At 38.2% G+C, this 21,823-nt stretch overlaps 1 long non-coding RNA gene across 1 annotated transcript in view; it reads right to left on the bottom strand.

Annotated features, from left to right (window-relative positions):
- Positions 1-21,823, bottom strand: part of PTCHD1-AS (PTCHD1 and PHEX antisense RNA) — a 1,100,142-nt gene that overhangs the window by 1,073,040 nt on the left and 5,279 nt on the right. Inside the window, exon 2 of the long non-coding RNA NR_073010.2 lies at positions 4,007-4,132. This is a non-coding gene — a long non-coding RNA (PTCHD1 and PHEX antisense RNA). The remainder of the gene's footprint in view (positions 1-4,006; positions 4,133-21,823) is intronic.

Below are 21,823 nucleotides of genomic sequence, written 5' to 3' on the forward strand. Positions count from 1 at the left end.
ACATGATTTATTGAATGGCTCATCATTTCTTCATTGATTTTTAATGTCATTTTCTTCCTGGAACAATTTTCCATTTGTTTCCATGTTCTCCATTCTGATTCTGATCTACCTGTCTCTTCCTGCACCAACAGCATGCTATGCTCATTACTATAGCCACTTAACAATGTGTCTTAACGTTTGGTAAGTTCCTTTTACAAACACGTCTTTTCTGCCCATTTACTATTCTATAAGGATTGTAGAATCTGGCCAGTTCCATTAAAAATCTCAGTGGGAGTTTTGGTATTACAATAAATTCATAGATTCATTTGGAAAAAGTGTTCCAGCTGAATAATGTAGCTTGTATCTGCATTTACTTAGATATTTCTTGTCTTTTAACAAAGTTTTATATTTTTTCCTTAAAGATATTATATATATTTGATTGGCTGTGTAGTTTTACTAGGTTTGTATTGTTGTTGCTATACTGAATAGGATCTTACTTCTTACCTATTTAATTGGTTGCTACTGGTGTATGGGCACAATAGTAATTTTTTATGCTAATCCTATCTCAAGAAATCTGACTGAACTCTCTTACTAGTTTTACAGCATAGGTTTATCCTCTTGAATTTTCTGTAAATGGTTTGAAAATAATGAAATTGTGCCTTCTTTCCTGTTACAGTCTTTATACTTCTTATTTCTTTTCCCTGTTGTATCATATTATGAGGACCTCCCGTACAATATTAAATAGTAGGAGAAGCAGAGACATCTTCATCATGTCTCAGATCCAGCCTCAATGGCAATACTTCTTGTCAGCATGAATTACCATCTTTGCTGAATCTTTATTTCTGTTCACTATGAGATTGTATCACTAATGGGTTTTGAAATTGTATCTCTCCTTTTGCCATTGATTAGAGTAAATGTATATATCTGTTTTCTTTTCATTTGCTAACATAGTGAATTCCACTGATAGCCTTAATAGTATTTAAACATCTTGTATTGCTGGTATAAGCTGTCACTTATTTTTACAGCTTTGCTATTTTTCCAATTTTTTATTTGAGTTTTCTTATCGATGTCCTTAAGTGAGACTGACCTCTAATTTTCAATTGACCTTACTGGCATTAGTTATACCCATATAAAATAAGTTTTATAAATTCTACTCTAGATGTATTCTATGGCAAATTTTGTAGAAGGGTATGTCTGTTCCTTTACATTTTGGTAAAATTTAGACATAAAATTCTTTGGTGTTCAAGTTATTTTGAGGAGAGAGGGTTGTATTTTAAATCAGTGTTTTGATGTTTTATTGACTTTTTAACTCAAGCTTCCTACTTTTGGGCTAAGATTAGTTATTATATATTTGTTACATTGTAGATGTTCTCTTGTAAACTGTCTATATGGTCATGCGTCATTTATCAATGAGATATGTTCTGAGACATGAGTGGTTAGGCAATTTTGTTCTTGTACAAACATCATAAATGTAGATATATTTACACACACCTAGGCTATATGGTAGAGCCTATTTCTCCTAGGCTACAAACCCGTACAGCATGTTACTGTACTAAATACTATAGGCAATTGGAATACAATGGTATTTGTGTATCTAAACATAGAAAAGTAAAGTAAAAAATGGTATTATAATCTCATTTGTCCAACAATGTATATTTGGTCGGTCATTAACTGAAATGTCATTATGCAGTGCCTAACTGTAATTGGATTTTATATTCCAGTCTGAGACTCTTAACTGAAGATCGTAGTCCACTTGCATGTTTGTAATTACTACATTTGAACTTAATTCTGCCACTTCATTTCTTTTCTGTTTAACAGGTTTGCCTTTTATTTCCATTTTCCTGCCTCCAGTTGGATTGATAGTATTTTTTTCTTCATGTTTTTCTCCCCATTACCAATTAAAAGCCATAGTCTATTTCTTTACTTTTAGGGATTACCTTTAAATTGTTAACATACATACTTAAATTTATGTTTTGTTACCAAAGATTAAGTTAACCATTACCTATTCCTTCCTCCACCACAAACAAGAAACTTTAACCATCCTTGATTTTTATATAATTCCACTGGGATTCAAAGATTTGTTGTTATTTATTGTCAATTGCTTCTTCCTTTGTAGATAATATCTCCCCCTCCACTCCCACCCCTGTAGCTTCTATGCTTCTCTTTTCACCTATGATGTCCTAAAACGTTATTCAAATAAGTCTAGATATATTTTTTGGATCCTGCTCAAATTTGGACGTCTTCTATCTGAGAATGTCCTTCAGTCTCATCTTCAACTATTGCTCCCTCTATGTACCTCTTTCTGGTTTTGAAAAATCTATTAGATAAAGGTTGGAATTTCTTCTAGAACATATCTACTTTGTTTTCCATCTTTTAATATCTATGCTACATTTTGTCCATGGTTATCTCCAACCAGTTATGCAAGTTATACAAGATGCATACTTCCCAAAATGACCTCCTCTGAGTGGATGAGTTTGGGGCTTACATTTGGCACAACTCCAGGTTTTGTGGCCCATATGTAAAATTAGTTCCCGAATTTTTAAAACTCATGTTTTAAAAAGCACTTGGGATACTCTCATGGTAAGAGAAGGCACGATTCAATCAACTAGAAAATAGTCTTAAGTGTGGGAGTCTAAAAGGTTCTCTGGAAGTGCCCAACTGGTTGTTGAGTAAAATGCTAAATTTTACTACGCTTCATCTTTTTAATCAAAAAGTAAATTATATAATCTCTCCACCTCTGTCTGTCAATCAAAGAAAATTAATCTATAAATGCCTCAAAATATAAAAGTCAGTCATTATATGAATACAAATTATTTCTATGAATGCCATATTGCGCAAATCCTCATCCCTTGCTTTGCACCGAATGTCCTTCAAATTTGTCATCATTTATAGCCTTGTCTTTAAGGCAATTTCCTTCAACATGGAAATTAAGATTTGCCAGACGTCAGTGTAGTCATGTTCTGAAAACGTCCATCTCAGAAAACAAATAGTTTTAAGTGCTTTATTGTGCGCACATGTTTGATTTTCTTTGGCTTACATTTCCTTTAAGAAAGCAGCAAGACTTAACACAACCAACAGGCATTTGAATATGGCCAAACCTTTAAAGCAAGTCACTAAACTTTCCTGAGCAAAACAAAAAGGAATCTTAGGAATCTTAGAGGGATGTTTTAAAACACAACAGTTTATCTTTAAAACAGCTCATATTTTTATTCATTTTAGTTCTTTTAAGAAATCAGGAGGTTCTAATTACAGAATTTATGCCATATTAAGATCATTCACTCTTGAATAAGTTTTACAGTTCGTAGTGTGCTTTCATATACATCAATTATTTATTCTTCACAAAAAGCCTACAAGTATTGCTTTACTAAGGAGAAAACTGAGCTTAAGTGCAGTTAAATGACCTATGTAGCAACAAACCCAGTCAGTGGCTGAACCCAGACTCACAGTTACGCTGCCCACGCCAAGGTGTTTACTGCCTTCTCCAAGTCCAGCTCTCTTTGAAATCACTTTAATGAAAATCACCGTAACAAACAAGACTTACAACAGTCACTTAATGACTCCACAGTTTAAAGGTTGCTATCAGATTTTGCTGCCACAAAACAATTAGACGCATTTTATTGTAATCAGATGCAATCTGTATTTAAACAGCCAAGCTTTTGGTCTATGATTTTCTTAGGAGATTCTGCCCCAATGGGTTAACAGAGATATCAACAACCATCACTACAATCCGGTTTTGGAACACTTCCATGCCCTTAGTAAGATCCTTCACACCCATTTACATTTATTCACCCCTCCCACCCCCCAGCCCTAAGCAACTACGAATCTACTTTCTGTCTCTACAGTTACCTTTTTTGGACATTTTAAATAAACAAAATCATGCACTATGTAGCCTCTTGCGCCTGGCTTTTTCACTTCAAATAATGCTTCTGAGGTTTTTCCATGAACAGCATATGTCAGTAGTTTGCTCCCTTTCACTGCTGAATAATATACCATTGTGTGAACATACCACGTTTGTTTATGCACTCACCAATTGGTAGACATCTGGGTAGCTTCCACTTTTCCTGAACCAACTTTTACTGCAATTTGACAGCTAGTTGTCCACGTTCTGTGTTCTCCTCTCCAGGACTCCAACTTCCTAAGTGGCTGTGGGTGCCTGTAGAAGATCAGATCTGATGTCTCAGTTCCCTCTGCGAACTATGATCCTTCTCAGTCCCTAGTCCAATGGATTACAACAAAATTAGCTTTTAAGGACTAGTAAGGCCATTATGTGACTTTTTCCATCTTCCTTTTTTATTACTACACTATGAGCAGGGTCATTTAAGGTATTTTTTTCCAGCCTCTGAGGCTGTGGTTACGGTTGCACAACTCCAATTTTCCTAAAAGTAATTGAATTGTACACTTAAAGTAGGTGAATTTTATGGTATATGAATTATATCTGCATAAAGTTGTTAAAAGGAGAAGGTTAGGGAGGACAGATGACAAAACAAGGGTATAGAAACCTAAATGATAAGGTTCAACTTGTCAACCTGAGCAACAGATACAACCATGAAAAGACCCACAGACAATCCTGAATGAGTCAGTCAGCACTTCATTAGATTCAGCGTAATTCTCGCACGCAACTGGGAAAAATGGGCAGCAGGGCACATGGTTAACAGAACACACTTTTTACGCCATCAAAACTACCTTCAAGCCCTGTATCAGCCACTTCTTAGCAAAATAAGTCACCCAAAGTTTAGAGTAGATTTAACAAATAACGATAAAAGAAACTCAGTTGAATCTGAATTTCAGATAAACAATGAATAATTTGCCAGTATATGTATGCCTCATGCAATATTTGGAGCATACTTATATTTAAAAATTATTTGTTGTGTATCTGAAATGCACAAATAACTAGGGGTCCTATATTTTATCTAGCAACCCTACCAAATTTACATATCCCCTTGGTAATAGGGGGCATGTTAGTAAAACCAGAATATAGAATTGTAAGATTGAATAGGCCATTTAAATACATTAGCAACCGATCCCTAAAAATTAGCTTGTTATATAATTGTTCTTCTGCCTTAACCACCTCTTTAGGTGTTCAATCATCCCCTGCAATGTGGAGCCCCATCCTGAGCCACAGCTGGCTTTGATGGGATGTCAACAAATCACTCAGGTCTTGCTAATAACCCTACCATGAACAACTGACATACAACAGCTAATCATTCACCACAGACTAAGTCCTGGGCATTTCGCAAGAGGTAGTTCCTATGTAGGGACTTAGGAAGGAAGACTAGGGAAGGGAAAGAAGAAACTATGCTTAGATAACGAGCACAGTTCCGGAACTAAAACCTTCCCCCTGGACTCTTTTTTATGCCATCTACCATCACTACTCCCACTGTTCCATGCTGAGGACAATTCATGATGACGACAGGTTAAATCAAACCCATGTACACGAGGTTTTAGCCACCGTAACAGCCAGCTCTCCCACACTCTGGCGTATCAACAATGCCAGGCTATGTTCACGTGACCTGAAGATAAGGGAGCAGATCATTCAAATAACTTTTTCATATTACTTTCTGATTCTGAAAGCAATTCAAAAAGAACAGTAGAAAAGAAAGAAAACAGTGACAACTTATCACCTAATGACAACCTGTGAGGAAAAAAGTTAAATAAATGCTATGTGTAATTTTACACAGATAGCATCATACTTTACTTTTATATCTTCCTTATTTACAATAACATGATTATTTTTCCCAAATATTTTCCAAATACATGATTCTTAATGAGTACCTAATACTCCACAGAATAATTCTATAAGGTAACCATTCTATTTGGTTGGTGTCTATTTCTTATGATTTTCAGTACCAATAAAATCAACAGTCTTGTACAGATACCTTTATTTACATTAACATAATTTCCCTATGACACATTCCTAGAAAGGGAATTACTACATGGACAACTGCCAAATTTCTTTGCATATATAGTACACTAATTCGTACTGCCACTAGTACTGAGAATATATAGATCTACTTTTATAAGCCCCACATCTGCAACCCAAAGACCTGTTCCAGTTCTAAGGACAAAAATAACATGGTTATTTTTGAGAGAATAATACAACTCTGACTTCTCTTTATTCCTGTCCTCAGGATAATCTTGGTATTCACAGAATAGCCGAGAGAAGAGACCACCAGGAGTTCACACGTGTGAGGCAAATGTCCACTCACCATGCTCTAATGGCCTACAGAGTTCTGTAGATGTCAAATATGGCTTTTATGTAATGCTTCTTATTGGACTCACTCTCTGGGGTTGGAAGTAGTTACTAATAGAGTGTGAGAGCAAGATATCAGGAGGCAGAATTGAGGAGAGTGCTGGGTGGCCGTGCTAAGTGCTCACATACTGGAGTTCCAAGAATAAATCACTAGGTGGCTCATTTATATTGGGCTCTGTCCAGTGGAGGATGAGCTACAGGTAAACATGAGCATCATGGATCTCAGACAGGTAAAAGCATAAGGGCATTGATTAAGACTGGCATCAGTGAATGACAGTAGTCAAAACTCATAGTTTGGTCATAGAAGAAACTCCAGTTATTATTTTTTTTTTGAGCAGCAAAGTAGTAGGCATATTTTCGTCTCTATAACTGATCCATTCTATCTGACCAGCTAGCTACAAGGAGACAGATGTCGACTTGTTTGAAGGACAAGATGTGAAACTTTCTAGAATGAGAAAGGACAGATGATTTTAGTGAAAACAGACTTGTTTAAAAGTCCTTGGAACCAAAATAATTTGAAGGCAAAAATCATGGGTCCTGACAATTATAGAGAGTCTTGGCATAGGTTAAAAGTATATCATTTTGGAGAAAGTATTACCAGCTACTTAGATAATGTCTGAGCTTTAGAATAAGGGGAATCTAATACTGAAATGCAGAGATACAGTAGCTCAGAAGTCTAAGGAAGATGGTAAATGTTGCAAAAAGCCTTCTGGTTGTTTCAGGATGCCTATGGGAGGGGTGTAGCTGTCACATGTAGTTACATAGTATTCTAGAACAAGGCAGGCTCAAGGTGACCAAAAGTCTTTCAATATAAGATAGGCAGTACAATAGATCCCCTAAGAGCCAGTTACATGGCATAAAGACAGAGCAAGAATACACAGATCTAGGTTGCTTTAGCCGGGTGGTGGTTCTGCCTGGCTGAGAAGAATTTAAAGAGCTTCTAAACTTAAAGGTTCCTAGCCTCTCCCAGTATGAAGTATTCAGTTCCATTTTTTAGTGGAGACTTTATTTCTTAGAAACTTTTTTAAACTTTTTGGAAATTAAACGTACCAAACCCTCAGAAAAGATGACACAATCCAGACCATAAGAATGGATTTTGATTAAAAACTTTAGACATTTAAAGTTGTCGAAATAGATATTAGTTGGCCCTTGATTTAAGAAAAAATAATATGGTCTGCTTATGCTGACATTTGTTGATTTTAGTGTTAGAATCCTTAAAGCTAATAAGCAAGGAAGTCTTCAAACCTTGAGCTAATAATTATGAAGAATTTTCTTAAGCTTTTACAAGATTTCACTGACTAACTTGGAGTTTTCCATATTATTTAAGTATTTTCACATTTATATGTATCTTCTTGTTTATCTTCTTCCCTCTTCAGGCTATAGGACCCCAGAGCAGCACGGGCCACAGAACGGGGGTAGAGAAGGCATTGTTCACTTTTTAATATTTCTTTCGCTCAGTTGAAGTTTGTCTTCTGCTTCATTCTTACACTTTTCTTTTGTTGAGTTTTGGAAGAATGAGTCAACATTATCACTGGAGAAAAATAGCAGTGTCTAAAATTTAGAATCACAGTAGTTCACTAGATTTACTCATTATTGTTCAACTGGTGGTGTTTACTCTGTTTTCCTATGCTCAAATTAGAAATACCACAAATCTGTATGAATACTATGTGTCATTAATATCGTCGGGTTAAATTCTTTAATTTTAAAGTAATTGTTGCAGGAAAAAACATAAGAGCGAAGGACAGAATCCAATATAGTATATACACATCTAGATCCATTTCTGCACCATTCTTGGAACAAAACCCTGAGTTCTATTTTAGGGAACATTAAAATATCTGTTGTTGAATCGTTATGTGCTACTTAAGACATAAGTAAACCCAAGTTAGAGAGTTGGATCAAAAGCCTCTGAACAAGACAAATCCCTATCAATAAATGGTTATCAACAGCCAATAAGCTCAATGTTTAGTTCCTTACTCAATTTGCTATAGTCGAGGAGTCAAAATTGGGACTTTCAGGCCAAATTCAACCTAAAGAAAAATTCAAAACATTTCACAACTTTTCAAATAATTTGTTATCTCACATGGGTTGAGGGAGGGAGAGAAATTCCCTAGAACTCTGGCTTCTCTTGAACTCAGAAGTTCAGATCGTGCAGCTATATGTTACCTTCTTACATGGCACCAATCTGCTGGTTCTCCTTAGCTGCTGTCTTCTTTAGACAAGGCATATGCTGTCCCATTCACCACAGTCCTCACTCTTCTCTATCACCACTCCTGGGCCACTTCCTTTATTTATATAACTTGCTTGGCCACTGTAGGTATTTTAATTAGCCAGCAAATATGGCAGGCAGACAGGGCTTCAGCTTTTCTGCTTCTCCCACACAAGTAGGCCTTTAGCCTCTGCTTTATTTCTGACCATGACAATGAGGCTATAGATTTACAATACAGACAGGAAGCAGATCACCCTGAACTTCACCTGTTACCTATCTCGTTGGGACAAGAAGTCTAATTCCTAGGCTTAGGATTCAACTCCAAATGTGCAGAGAAAAGGAAAAAAAAAAACCACACACACACACACACACACACACACACACACACACACACACACAAGTGAAGAAATCAATCAAGGTCACAAAGCCATTCCAAGCTGTTCTGTGTCTACGACCCATATTTTTTGATTTTCCACTCCTCAGAAGATCAAGAGGTAATGAGGAATTTCTCATAATAAATTATTACGAGTCTCTAGGGTGGGTGCTCTGAGGGCTCATGGCTTAGACTTATAGACAGCATCTGCCTCACCATGGAGTATTCAGTAGCCTTCAGTCTTACCCTGCCAGTGAGCTCTCACTGGGGTGGAACAGGCTGTCCAGCATGGTAAAGAAGCAAGCTGAAACAAAGAGTTTGTCACTTTGTTTTTATTTTCTACTTTGGGTTCTAACAAAAGGATTCAAGAAGAGAGCAGTAAATCAAGCAAGCACCTGCTCATCGGGTTGTCTATTGATGTTTTCACTTACCGTCCAGGATATTCAAAGAGAGGCTCAGAAGTTTTGGCATAAAGAAATCTTTTTATTTTCCATGATCAAAATTGCCTAGCCAGAAAGGGCATCAAAGCCACGGTATCTTCAGAGGAAGAGATAAATTCACTCCAGGTTGACAGGAGGGTCACCTTGGCCATTTCTTCCCTTGCCTTAGAAGGAGGGCAGGAAAGGGAAGACCAATTTTGACTGGCAAATAGAGAATGCCTCAAGAAGGTGAAGATATGCCATGGATCACTTCTTTCCAATGTGCATATAAGTCACTTGGAAATCTTGTGAAAATGAATGTGGGTTCTAATTCAGCAAGTCCAGGGTGGAGCCTGAGGTTCTTCATAAAGCTCTCCCAACATGCTGATGCTGCTGAACCTCTGACTACATTTTGAGTAGCAAACCCATAGACATCATTGACAGAGGTTTTAAAAAAGACAGAATATAATTTGTGATTTACTTTGATACAAGATATGCATGTAGATGGCAACTAGAACCTTATAGTCGACTTGCGTGATCTTGCCAGGAAAGTCATCATTCACATAAGAAGGAACAAGCCAACATTGAGTCTCACGGTGTGAGGGTAATGGAGGCTGGGTTCAATGGGCCCAGAAACATATATAGAAATCAAGAAGGGAAAAGAGCCAGCAGCAGTCATAGAAACAGCAACGAAGCTGATCAACTGAATAAAGAAGTCAATGTTTGAATAGAATAGCAGAGAACAAGGTAGCCTGAGGTACTTGCTAAAGTCAAGCTCAGCTAGCATTGAAGAATGCGAGATAAGAATTAATGAGGTCTTGGAGACCAGACAGACTCACTGGCACAGAGCAGGCAAACCTCAAAGTCTTAACAACGGGCAACCGGAAGAAATCAGCACAGGCAAACAAAGAATGCCAGTGTGAGCGTTGGGCCACAGATGGAGAACTAGGCAAGCAGGGAGATGCCTAGGTGTGAGATGTGAACATACCTGCTGATCTTCAGCTTCCAGAAAGAACTGGGCAAGGGAAATAAAAGCATCCTACTCCCAGAGGAAATCGTATGTGCGGCAAGAAATCCAAGAAGGTCTAAAATGTGAGGACTGGAACTCTGAGCAAAGGCCCAGGTCTGTGACCCATATGGAATCAGTAGCAAAGTTATATGTTACTGAGCCAACTAAAGGCCTTATATTCCTTCCCAGCACAGACTGGTCCCAGAGCCCGTGTGCGGCGGAATCAACAGGTGTTCAGTTAAGAGGCTACAGCTGTGAAAATTAGCAAACGGCGCTAGGCAGGTTAGTAGAGCAGTGAGTCTCAAAGTACGCTCTCAAATCAGCAGTATCAACATCACCTGGGTACCTGCTCGGACATGTGAATTCTCAACCCCACCCCAAACTTAATGAATCAGAAATTCTGGGGCTGGAGCCCAGCCAGGCATGTTTTCACAAGCCCTCCAGAGAATTCTGACGCACCATGCTCAAGTTTGGGAAGTAATGCCGTAGTTTATTCAAAGTATAAATGGAGACAAGGCCAGATGTGGCAAAGGCGTGGCCTTAATCATGATGCTTTCAAAGAGCTGGTGAAGACTGAAATCAGTTACAGGGGAAGAAAATCCAGTAGAGAGAATGTGAAAGAATGATTAATAAAACGTTCAGGGGTTAACTGAGTCAGGCAATGATATTAAAAGGCAGAGTTATATCAATGTCGAAGGATCATCCAACCATGTGTATTCATATTTTGATTCTGATAACGAGAGAAATCATGAGTGTCAAAAGGGGTCAACTCCTGTGTTCGAAAATGTTCTCATGCTGTATTTTTAAGACAGTCACCTCAAAGAAATGTTATTTGGAGCTCATGCTTATGAAGATTTCCTCTCAGTGGGGGAAAAACAAATATGGTAGTATAATGTGATCCATTCGACAGAAATATTGAGAAGAAATTTGTTTTAAATATGTGTTTGTTTAAACACAGGTGAAGGATGAAAACATATGTGTAGGTTTTTAATTATACTTATTGATTCAGCAAATATCTCTATTCAGACACTAAGGATGCAAAACCACATAAACCACAATCTCTTTCAAAATATTTGCAGTGTAGTCCTAGGAGAGGACAATAAATTCGCAGTTGGCACAGCTATACTAGAGGTTTGCCCTCCATAAGGCAGAGAACTTTTCTCAAAAGAGAGAAATGCTCAGTTTGACTCTGAAGAACAATTGAAAGAACACTGTAGTAGAAGGAATGATATGTAGGGAAGGCATGGAGGCAGGAAAGGCCTTTTGGGAAGTGCTAGAGGCTTAGAATGGCTGGGGGGAGAGGACATGAGGCTAGAGAACTAGTAAGCAGAGACCAGCCCATCATGGCCCTAGCTGCCATCCTGGTAACACTGGTGAGCCAGGGAGGACCAGGAACAGATGTACCCTTCAGAAAGACCACTCTGTCTCAGTCATAGGGTAAATGAATTGACAAGAGGGCCAGGAAGGAGGTGCGCAAGATCAGTAAGAAAAAGATGATCGTAACTAAGTTGATGGACTAGGGCATCAGAGCTCAGGAATGCAGAAATTATGCAGTTCTAAGAGATGGCAAGGCTTATGATGTGACAAAACTGAGATATACTGATACACCTGAATCAATCGTAGAATGAGCCCTATGTTTTTTTTTTCTTACCAATACTAGCAACAAGTTGGAGATCAATTTGGTTATTTTTATGAACTAGAGGCAATTTAAGGCCATCCCTGTAATGATGTCAGTTTTATATTTCAATCTGCTTTTTGGAGTGGGAGAAGAAGGGCTTGCTGAGGCCACAGTCATTGCTGCACATCTCTGAGAATACAGCAGTGACAAGATGGGAATGCACCCCCTCTCTCCTGGACCTTTCCAGAGGCTGGCAAGGGGGGTAGGTTATATACCTCACAGGCCAGGAATGGAGTTCACATCACCTGCAGGTCATCCTACCCGTCTTCAGGAAAGGTGGCTACAACCCTCTTCTCCTCCCTCTAACCTCAAGTGGGAGAGCTCTGGCAGGCATTGAGGGAAGTCATCTTGAGGCCCCAATAGGCCAGAGCTCTGGTGATAGCGGCTTCCAAGAATGGAACCACAAGAGGTACCTTTCTCTCTCTCTCCTGCTGCTGCTGCAGCTGCTAGATCCCTTCCCTTTGGTGGGATTAGTGTGGAGAGACAAAAACTATGGGTGCCTTCTGTTTGTAAGGGGGATATCCAGCCTGACCTTGGCAGGCCAAGCAAGACCAGGAGGCAGTTCTCAGGAAAAGATGTTGGCTCAGGTCTGGCCCTGCCCAGAGTCTCAGAGAGGAGTAGGGGTAGGAGGAGGATATAAAATGAGTTATAGAGGTTTCTGCAAAGTCTAGACCAATTCACTGGTTAGGTCATAAGTTGGGCATTTGCTGGACACAGACGCCTAAGCCATAAAAGCAAAGCGGGCATATGCCTCAGGTTCCCTTGGTCATACCTCAGTCCCTCAAGCACAGGGTGCAGACACTCCGATTCTGCTCCCAGAGATATGACTAACACCAAGTAAGATCTACAGGATAGTTTAATATTGAGGAATAGAGATTTTAAATGTTCTAAAGGTCCTGAAGGATTTACAATAAAATAATAAATAGCAGTCTTTCCTGAGTGGTAGGATTTCAGGTAATTTAAAAATTTTTCTTCTCTTTAATCACCGGAAACTTCTATAATAAATATGGTTTCCACTGGTGATAATAGAAATTAAAATTATTTAAAACATCATTACCATGTTGAAAAAAGAATCCAATGTTAAAAAGTTTGATATTTTCCCACACATCTAGGAGATATAAATATGTATACATATATAAGAGTACCTAAAGAAAAAAAGAAAATTAAAGTGATGAAGCTATGATAGAAGGTAAATATGTTAGAATAACTGATGAAAATACTGTCCATTGTATGATTCAAAGATGTACAAAACCTACCCAAGTGCTACTAAAATATTACTATTCACAGACGAGAAAATATACAAGACTGTAAATTCCCTTATGTAAGCCTAGTATACTAGAGTCCCATTTCAACGCACTGAATTATAATTAGCTTCCTTAGGCGTAGGAGCTATAATAGACAGTAGGCACCTCAAAGATTAACAAAGATATATTCAAAATTGGGAGACTAAAATAATTCATAATGATGAGAAAGAAAAGGAAGTAAGCCAAAAGAAAAGATTGCAGTATCAACAAGCCAATGTTGTCAATTTAAAAATCAGTGTGCATGGATTTTAGGTGACTTAAGAGTTTTCAGCATTTTCTGATTTTTTCCATAATTAACCCCATTAAAAAGGGGGCAAAGGACATGAACAGACTCTTTTAAAAAGAAGACATACATGCTGCCAACAAGCATATGAAAAAGGCTCAATATCACTGATCATTAGAGAAATGCAAATTGAAACCACAGTGAGATACCACCTCATACCAGTCAGAATGGCTATTACTAAAAAGTCAAAAAATAATAGAAGCTGGCGAGGTTGTGGAGAAAAGGGAACACTTATACACTGTTGGTGAGAGTGTAAATTAGTTCAACCACTGTGGAAAGCAGTATGATGATTCCTAAAAGAGCTAAAAGCAGAACTACCATTTGACCCAGCAATCCCATTACTGAGTATATACCCAGAGAAATATAAATCATTCTACCGTAAAAACACACGTGTGCCAATGTTCATTGCAGCACCATTCACAATAGCAAAGAAATAGAATCAAACTAAATGCTCATCAGTGACAGACTGGATAAAGAAAAGGTGGTATTAAATATGCATACACCATGGAATACTATGTGGCCATAGAAAAGAGGGAGATTATATCTTTTGCAGGAACATGGATGGAGCTGGAAGCTATTATCCTCAGCAAACTAATGCAGGAACAGAAAACGAAAATACCACGTTCTCACTTGTAAGTGGGAGCTAAATGATGAGAACTCATGAACACAGAGAAGGCAACAACAGACACTGAGGCCTACTTGAGGGTGGAGGGCGGGAGGAGGGAGAGGAGCAGGAAAAATAACTATTGGGTACTAGGCTTAGTACCTGAGTGATGAAATAATCTCTACAACAAACCCCCGTGATACAAATTTAGCAATAAAACAAATCCTCACATATACCCCCAAACCGAAAAGAAAAGTTAATTTTTTTTAATTTAAAATCTATATATTGGGGAGAAAATACTCGTAAAACATAAATCCAACAAAGGCCTTGTATCTCGAATATATTAAGAACTCTCAAAACTCAACAATACAAGGTACATACAGGATTCTGATTTCTCTCCATCCTTGTCAACTCTTATTTTCCTTTTTATATAAAAATTATAGCAATCCCAGTAGGTGTAAAGTGGCACCTCACTGTGGTTTTGATTTGCATTTCAGTAATGACTAATGCTGTTGAGCAGCTTTTCATTGCTTACTGGCCATTTGTATGTCTTTGGAGAAGCATCTATTCAAATCCTTAGCCCATTTCTAAGTTGGGTTGTTTTTTCTTGTTATTGTTGAGATATAGGAACTCTTTATGTATTCTGGATATTAAACTCATCAAATATATGACTTGCAAATATTTTCTCTCATTCTGTGAGTTGTCTTTTCACTCTCTTAATAGTGTCTTTGGATGCACAAACTTTCTAATTTTAATCATCCAATTTATCTATTTTTTCTTTGGTTTCCTATGTTTTTAGTGTCATACTTAAGAAATCATTGCCTCAAAACGATAAATATAGAATATGACCCAGCAATTCCATTCCTAGGTGTATACCCCCAAAGAATTGAAAACAGGGACTGAAACAGGTACTTGTACACAAATATGCACAGCAGCGTTATTTAAGATAACCAAAAGGAGAAAACACCCACAAGTCTATGAACAGATGAATGGATAAACAAAATGTGTTATATCCATATAATAGAATATTATTCAGCCACAAAAAGGAATCAAGTTGTGATAAATGCTACAATATAAATGGACCCTGAAAAGATTATGCTAAATGAAATAAGCCAGACACAAAAGAACAAACGTTGTATGACTCTACTTGTATGAAATATCTAGAAGAGGCAAATTTATAGAGCCAGAAAGTAGATTAAAGTTTAACAAGAGGTAGGGGGAATGAGGAATGGGGACTTAATGCTTATGGACACAAAGTTTCTGTTTGGGGTAATGAAAATATTTTGGAAATAATGATGATGGTCGCACAACACTGTGAATGTTATAAATGTCACAGAATTATACGCTTAAAAGTGGTTAAAATGATAAATGTATATTGTATGTATATTTTATCACAATAAAAAACTCAACGGTTAAATAATGCAATTATGAAAAGGACAAAGGACACAGACATTTCACTCACAAGGATGGCAAATAAGCACACATGCTCTACTTCGTCAGCCATTAGAAAAATGTAAATTTTAACCACAACGAGATATCACTACATCTATATCAGAATGATTAAAATAAAAAATAGTGGAAGACCAAATTCTGGCAGGGAGGGGGAAAGGGGGAACAACTAGATCTCTAGTATATTATGGGTAGTCATATAAAATGGTATGGTCACTCTGGAAAACAGTTTGACAGCTTCTCATAAAATTAAACATGCGATTAACATGACCACACAATCATACTTTTGGGCCTTTATCCCAGGGAAATGAAAACTTATGCTTACATAAAATCCTACACATGAATTTTCACAGCCGCTGTGTTCATAGTAGCAAAAACTGGCAACAATCCAAAAGTCCTTCATCGGGTTAATGGTTAAATAAACTCTGGTCCATCCATACAATGGAATATTACTCAACAGCAAAAAGATATAAACTATCAACGCAGGCAATACCATAGATGAATCTAAAGAGCATTATGCTTAACAAAAAGTCACTCTCAAAAGGCTACATATCATATGATTTTATTTACATAATATTCTTTTTTCAGAGGGGGCATGAGGTCTTGCCATGTTGCCCAGGCTCGTCTTGAATTCCTAGGTTCAACTGATCCTCCCACCTCGACCTCCCAAGAGAGATGCAAAGCACATTTGTAGTTGCCATGGTATGCAAATATAAAGTGGTAGCAGGAGGTAGTTACTTTGTGGTGATGGAACTATCCTATATCTTGATTGTCATGGTGGTTACACGAATCTACACGTGGAATAAAATTGCATAAAAATACAAATACACACACAAATTAATACAAGTCAAAATGTCGAAAACCAAACAAGATCTACAATCTAGATAACGGTGTTGTGCCAATGTCAATTTCTTAGTTTGATATTAGACTACAGCTGTATAAAATATCACCATTGGGAGAAACCGGAGGAAGAATACACAAGACTCTATGTACTATTTTTGTAACTTTCTGTGAGTCTATAATTATTTCAAGATAAAAACTTTTTTAAAAACACATCTAAATTGGTACATGAATACCATGGACACATTTTATTTTGCTTCTTTAGCAAATGGGAAATTTCTCATAAAAAAAAAATGTAATGTTAAACTAACACAGTATAAGGGTGACCACACTACTAAATTTGGTATTGTAGCATAAGAAAGGCCCCTTTAAAAATTGGTACATGAGAATGAAAATGAAAATACGGAAACCTGAAACAAAATGCATCCACTGTAGAAATGGCCAAACACAAATGACACTAAATAAACCATATTTTTTAAATGTATCTAGTGCACCAATTCTTCCCATTTCCCAAATTGTCCATGCACAAAATCCTTATTTATACTTGTGGTTTTATTTCTGTGTACAAAAGCAAAGTATATATGTCACTCTTCCTAGAAGAGGGTGGGTAGTGATGAATATACATTTTTTAAAGAAGAGGAAACTTGAAGTTGTAAAGCAAACAAGGAATTAACGTGGGTGGCAGAGCAAGAGTGGAGGGCTTTGCAGTGAAGCTGGGGAGAGATAAGGAAAGCTGAGGGAAGAGAGACCTGCGGTTCAAATCAACTTTTGTGATGGGAAAAATAAAATAATGAAGAGTACTCTGACAGGAAAAGGAAAAGCTCATCACCTTCTAAGGTCTGACCACAACCTCCCTATACGCCATGAAGGGGTAAAGTGCAGGCTACGCTAGCAAATGTCAGGGTGAGGGTCTCTGCAGCTGAAGAGGATGCAGCTTCCCGACAGAAAAACTAAGGAAGTGTGGACTATGTCCCTGGGGGCACTGGGGTGAAAACCAGGCAAACAGCTCTGTCATCACACCTAAGGGATAAATGTGGAGGCAAAAGAGAAGACAAAGCCAAGAGATTCAGTGGCTTAAAAGTAAAAAAAAAAAAAAAAAAGTAAATGGCGTAAAAACCAAAGGCAGGAGTTTTGGTTTTGAAATACCGTTTTATTCATGATAAGTTGAGGTCACTTTTGGCACTCTGAAGATGATCACCAATTGTTATAGCAAAGATTAAAACCAACAAAATAACAAATACAGCAGTTAGAAAGCTAAAGATCGTTTCGTTTCGGTTACTGCTACTGTTTTATAACTTGGTTATGTAGGTTGTAGGAATCAGTGCAGGGGTTAGGGTCTGCAGCTTTCGTCCTGAAAGACTGAACAATCGAAAGATTTTTTGCATCATCTAATATAAATCCTGGAGAAATAAGCTTGACAAATTGCATATGACAAAAAAAAAAAATTCATGTTCCACAGTGGAAGCAGTCCCCTACCTACTCTGACTCTACACACAGTCTGCATGTGGTTCTGACCTTGGCCCCTCTGCTATGTTCTGGGAAGGGGAAGAGAGTTGGATGTGGACTGTGGTAGAAAGAACAAAGAGATTGCAAAGCTCCTCTGTGGAAGCTCTGGGGTGGGGCTCTGAAATCTGACTTTTAAAGAAGAGCTCCAGGGGAACTGATACAGCTGGTCTTTGATTCACCCTTTCAGAAGCACAGTTCCACACAGCCATTGGCTGGCAACAAGTTCTGCTCCTAAACTTTAATCCCCAGTTTCCAAACATTATGTTTATAAGAAGTATTGGTAGTAACCATGAGGCTAGTTTAATTTTCTTTTAGTCCTTTATGAGGCCCCAGTTCTTTTTAAATTAACCGTGGCAGAACCCATTGGTCTTCAGTGTCAACATAATTCAGAAAGGAAACAAGAGGTGCACAAGGAGGAATGAGATGTTTAAAAATATAATTAAAAAATAATAGCAGGAACATTTACTTAGTACGTACTAGGTGTCAGATTCTAAGCGTTTCCATGTGTGAACACAACCACTTATAACAACGCTGGGAGTACATACTATTATTATAACCAGCCCCATGATACCGATGAGAAGACAAGCACAGAAAGGTTAAGCAACTTCCCTGAAGTTACGCAGTAGCAAGTGGAAAGCTTGTCTCAAAACAATGAAAATGGAAAAGGAACAAATGAAATGGGAAACGGGAATTCTCCCCCAAAGGTATGCTGTCTTCAGTCAATGTCATGTTGTCTCTGTTTCGGTGCTGGTATTTCTTATTTAATGTCACATTTCAAATTCATAAGAGCACTTTTAAATAAAATGTTTTCTGCTCAGAAACAACTTCAAAGAAAATGAGTGCAATAAAACAAAGACATAGGTCAGGGGCAAGGTACCCAACATGAAAAGAAATAGAAAATTGCACCTCCCCACTTTAAGTAATTTAGCTTCAAATGAGCCAAAGTCTCTTGAAATCAGATATCGTGTAGGAGATCCCATTCCACACTCCAGGAAAAAACCATAGCAAACAGTTTAACTGCCACACATCAGACTACATCCAGTGCAATGGTGTGGTGTTAGTCCACAGCAGTTGTTCCCAAAATGAGGAGTGAGGCAGAGTCAGGACTGCCTGGAGAGCTGATGGACAGAGAGGTCCAGTTTGGGTAAAGTGGAGCAGGGCCTGGGCCTCAGTATCTTACAAGTTCCTCTTTAGTGATTCATATGCTCACCAAAGTGAGAACCACTAGTCTGGAGGGTTCTGGGTCCATGTTCCTCCATTTCTTGAGGAATCCTGAAGAGAGGAAACTGGTAACTGATAGGGAAGACTCCAGGACAGCTGGAACACTTTTAGCAGACACAAGCTTCAGGTACCAGAGCTACCTCCCACCTCTTCGGTGTGTCTGTCCACAGCTCTCGTCAGCCCCACATAGGTGCAATTTACTTGTCTGCATTCCAAATGTAAGCTCTGTCTTGCCCAGTGCTGTGTCTCCAGAATGGAACCCAATGTCTACACACAATAATTATAAAATAAATATTGGTTGGATAAATGAATTGATGGAAATCTACCAGCATTAAAACTATAGAATGGGAGTGTTGAGAGTAGTATTGAATTGCCCACAAATCTAACTCCAAAGAGCCTATAGTTCAAGTATTGAAATGGTTTTGTAATATAGGCAGCTAGAGATTACTTCTTTTCCATACCACGGAACTGCCGGGATGACTCATTAGTGATCCTGAATTCTAAGCCTGCATCCTCTCTTTCAGTGAAGAACTTGGATACATATTTACCCCCTAGGGTCTCCTGAACTTCTTCCTAAAACATAGATTATTCTAGTACTCGCCTACCGTATAAGGAGTATTTGAACTAAGCAATTAATGACTTGGGCACCTTAAAAAATGCCAAGCGCTTTTCAAACATCTATTATATGGTCCTGGGCCTAATAATGCTGCTACAGAATTTCTTTCATTGAATTACACGTTGTTTAAATGTAAAAGAATGACCTTTTAATCATAAAACAAATGACTTGCTATCAATTGACCAAGAGTAATATTTTCGCAACTTGAAATAATCTGGTCTAAATCACCAAATACAAAGAATGTATACAAAAATGTTACCACATTCCCTCTGAACATGGTTTCTACTAAACAACAGCACAGTTCCCAACTTGAGTGCCGTATCGGCATTGTGGTCCACCAATGGTGAGGCTGCATAGGGGGTGATGAAAGGTGTGAGCTTAAAAACAACAAGATCTAAGCTTACTTCCAGCTTGGTAAGTCACTGAACTAAATGATATTTTGGTTTCCTCAACTCTAACATGGGGAAGATAATCATATCTTTTTTAATGGGTTATCAGAAAAAAATCATGCATGAGAAGTATTGAGCTCAATTCCTTAACAAAATAAGTGCTCAGTAAATGTCACACTACTGTTAGCATCATCCTTGGCATGTCAGTTGGCATCTAAGGCTTAGATAGAATAACCAGTCTGTCCCTCTGCTTGTTAGCCATTTCCCATCATATCACAATCCCAGCTAAGTCAGTTCCATCCTAATGGCTTAAACAGTTAGGGAAAGCATTCTGTAAATAATGACAGTTAAACTAGATCTTAGAAGATGAGCAAGATAGATTAAAGGGCCCCAGCTTTCACAGTCATTCACCGTCCAGTCAGCTGTGGCCAAGGAGGACTGGAATTACCCGGAGCAGAACACGAATACCTAAGTGACTTTCCTTTGACTGGGGACAGTATCCTTCAAGGGAAACTCATAATTTTAACACTCATGTATCTAGAAGGCCCTGCTGAGCTACTCTGACATTCTTACCAGTCATCAAGAATAGTTAACTTTCCATACGCTCTTGGTATGTATGTGTGCCTGTGTGTGCAAGTGTGTGCAATGAACTAATAGAAAATTCTGGTAGCCCATCCCTTTATATTTTACATAGACTCGAAGACCTTCTTTGGATTTGTAGCAGCAGGAAACATTTCCGTTTTCAATATGGGCCTGCCATCTGTCGGAAGGCTAGCTTCTAGAGTACCACGTTTTCTCCACTGCTATTTTCTACCACATGGTTATATTCTCAGTTTTGCTCACAGCACCACATGCAATAATAATTGCTATTTATTGGGTGCCTCTCATGAGCCAGGCACTTTAAATGCAGTCTCTTGAGGTACATATGATTATCCCATTTTATAGATGAAGAACTCAAAGGCTCTGAGAGGTTAGGTAACTTGCCCAAGTTCTTACAGCCGGGAAAGCTGACCTGGAGTTTGAACTGCAATCTGGTTGATACTATACAACAAGGTCCTTTTCTCTCCCCAGTGCTTGTGGTAGTATCATTAAAGGACATTTTGCTTTGAGGTATGTTTAATGCATTTTTTCAGTCCAGCATGTTGTGTTCACGTCACTTCATTTCGCCACAGCCATATAAGCAGAAATTGCTTAGGAACCTGCTGTCCCTGGGCTGGGCTTACATCCAGCTCCACGCTGTACAGGGGGAAGCAGTGCTTCTATTAAATTAATGTGCTCCAACACGAGTGCATCATTCCAGTCACCTGAGAATAGGAAAAGCCTTATCAAGAACTTGCTATTCATTTTAAGCTGCTTTAATCCCCTCTGGTCTGATGCAAATTCATTTCATTAATAATTAACAGTGCTTGGCAGTGCTTTCCCTCAGTCCCAGTTCTTGGTTGGCATTCCACTTTGCTGAACCTGAGAGAAATCAGGGTCAAACCAAGGGAGAAAAGAAAATGAGAGAGCCAGGATCTGGCATTAACCCACCCACCTCGACCCCTATGGAGAAGGCAAGGTAACTATTGAAGCAACAGATATTGGCATTATCTGTGAGTTAGTGTGGATGATCCTTGTAGTTCGTCTTCTTAAATATTACATCTTTAATGAGCTCATCCAAGCTTTGATAGTGTGGCCTTAAACCTTGCTTTTGGGCA

This window comes from Homo sapiens, chromosome X, assembly GCF_000001405.40.
Source record: "Homo sapiens chromosome X, GRCh38.p14 Primary Assembly".
In the NCBI taxonomy this organism is placed as follows: Eukaryota; Metazoa; Chordata; class Mammalia; order Primates; family Hominidae; genus Homo; species Homo sapiens.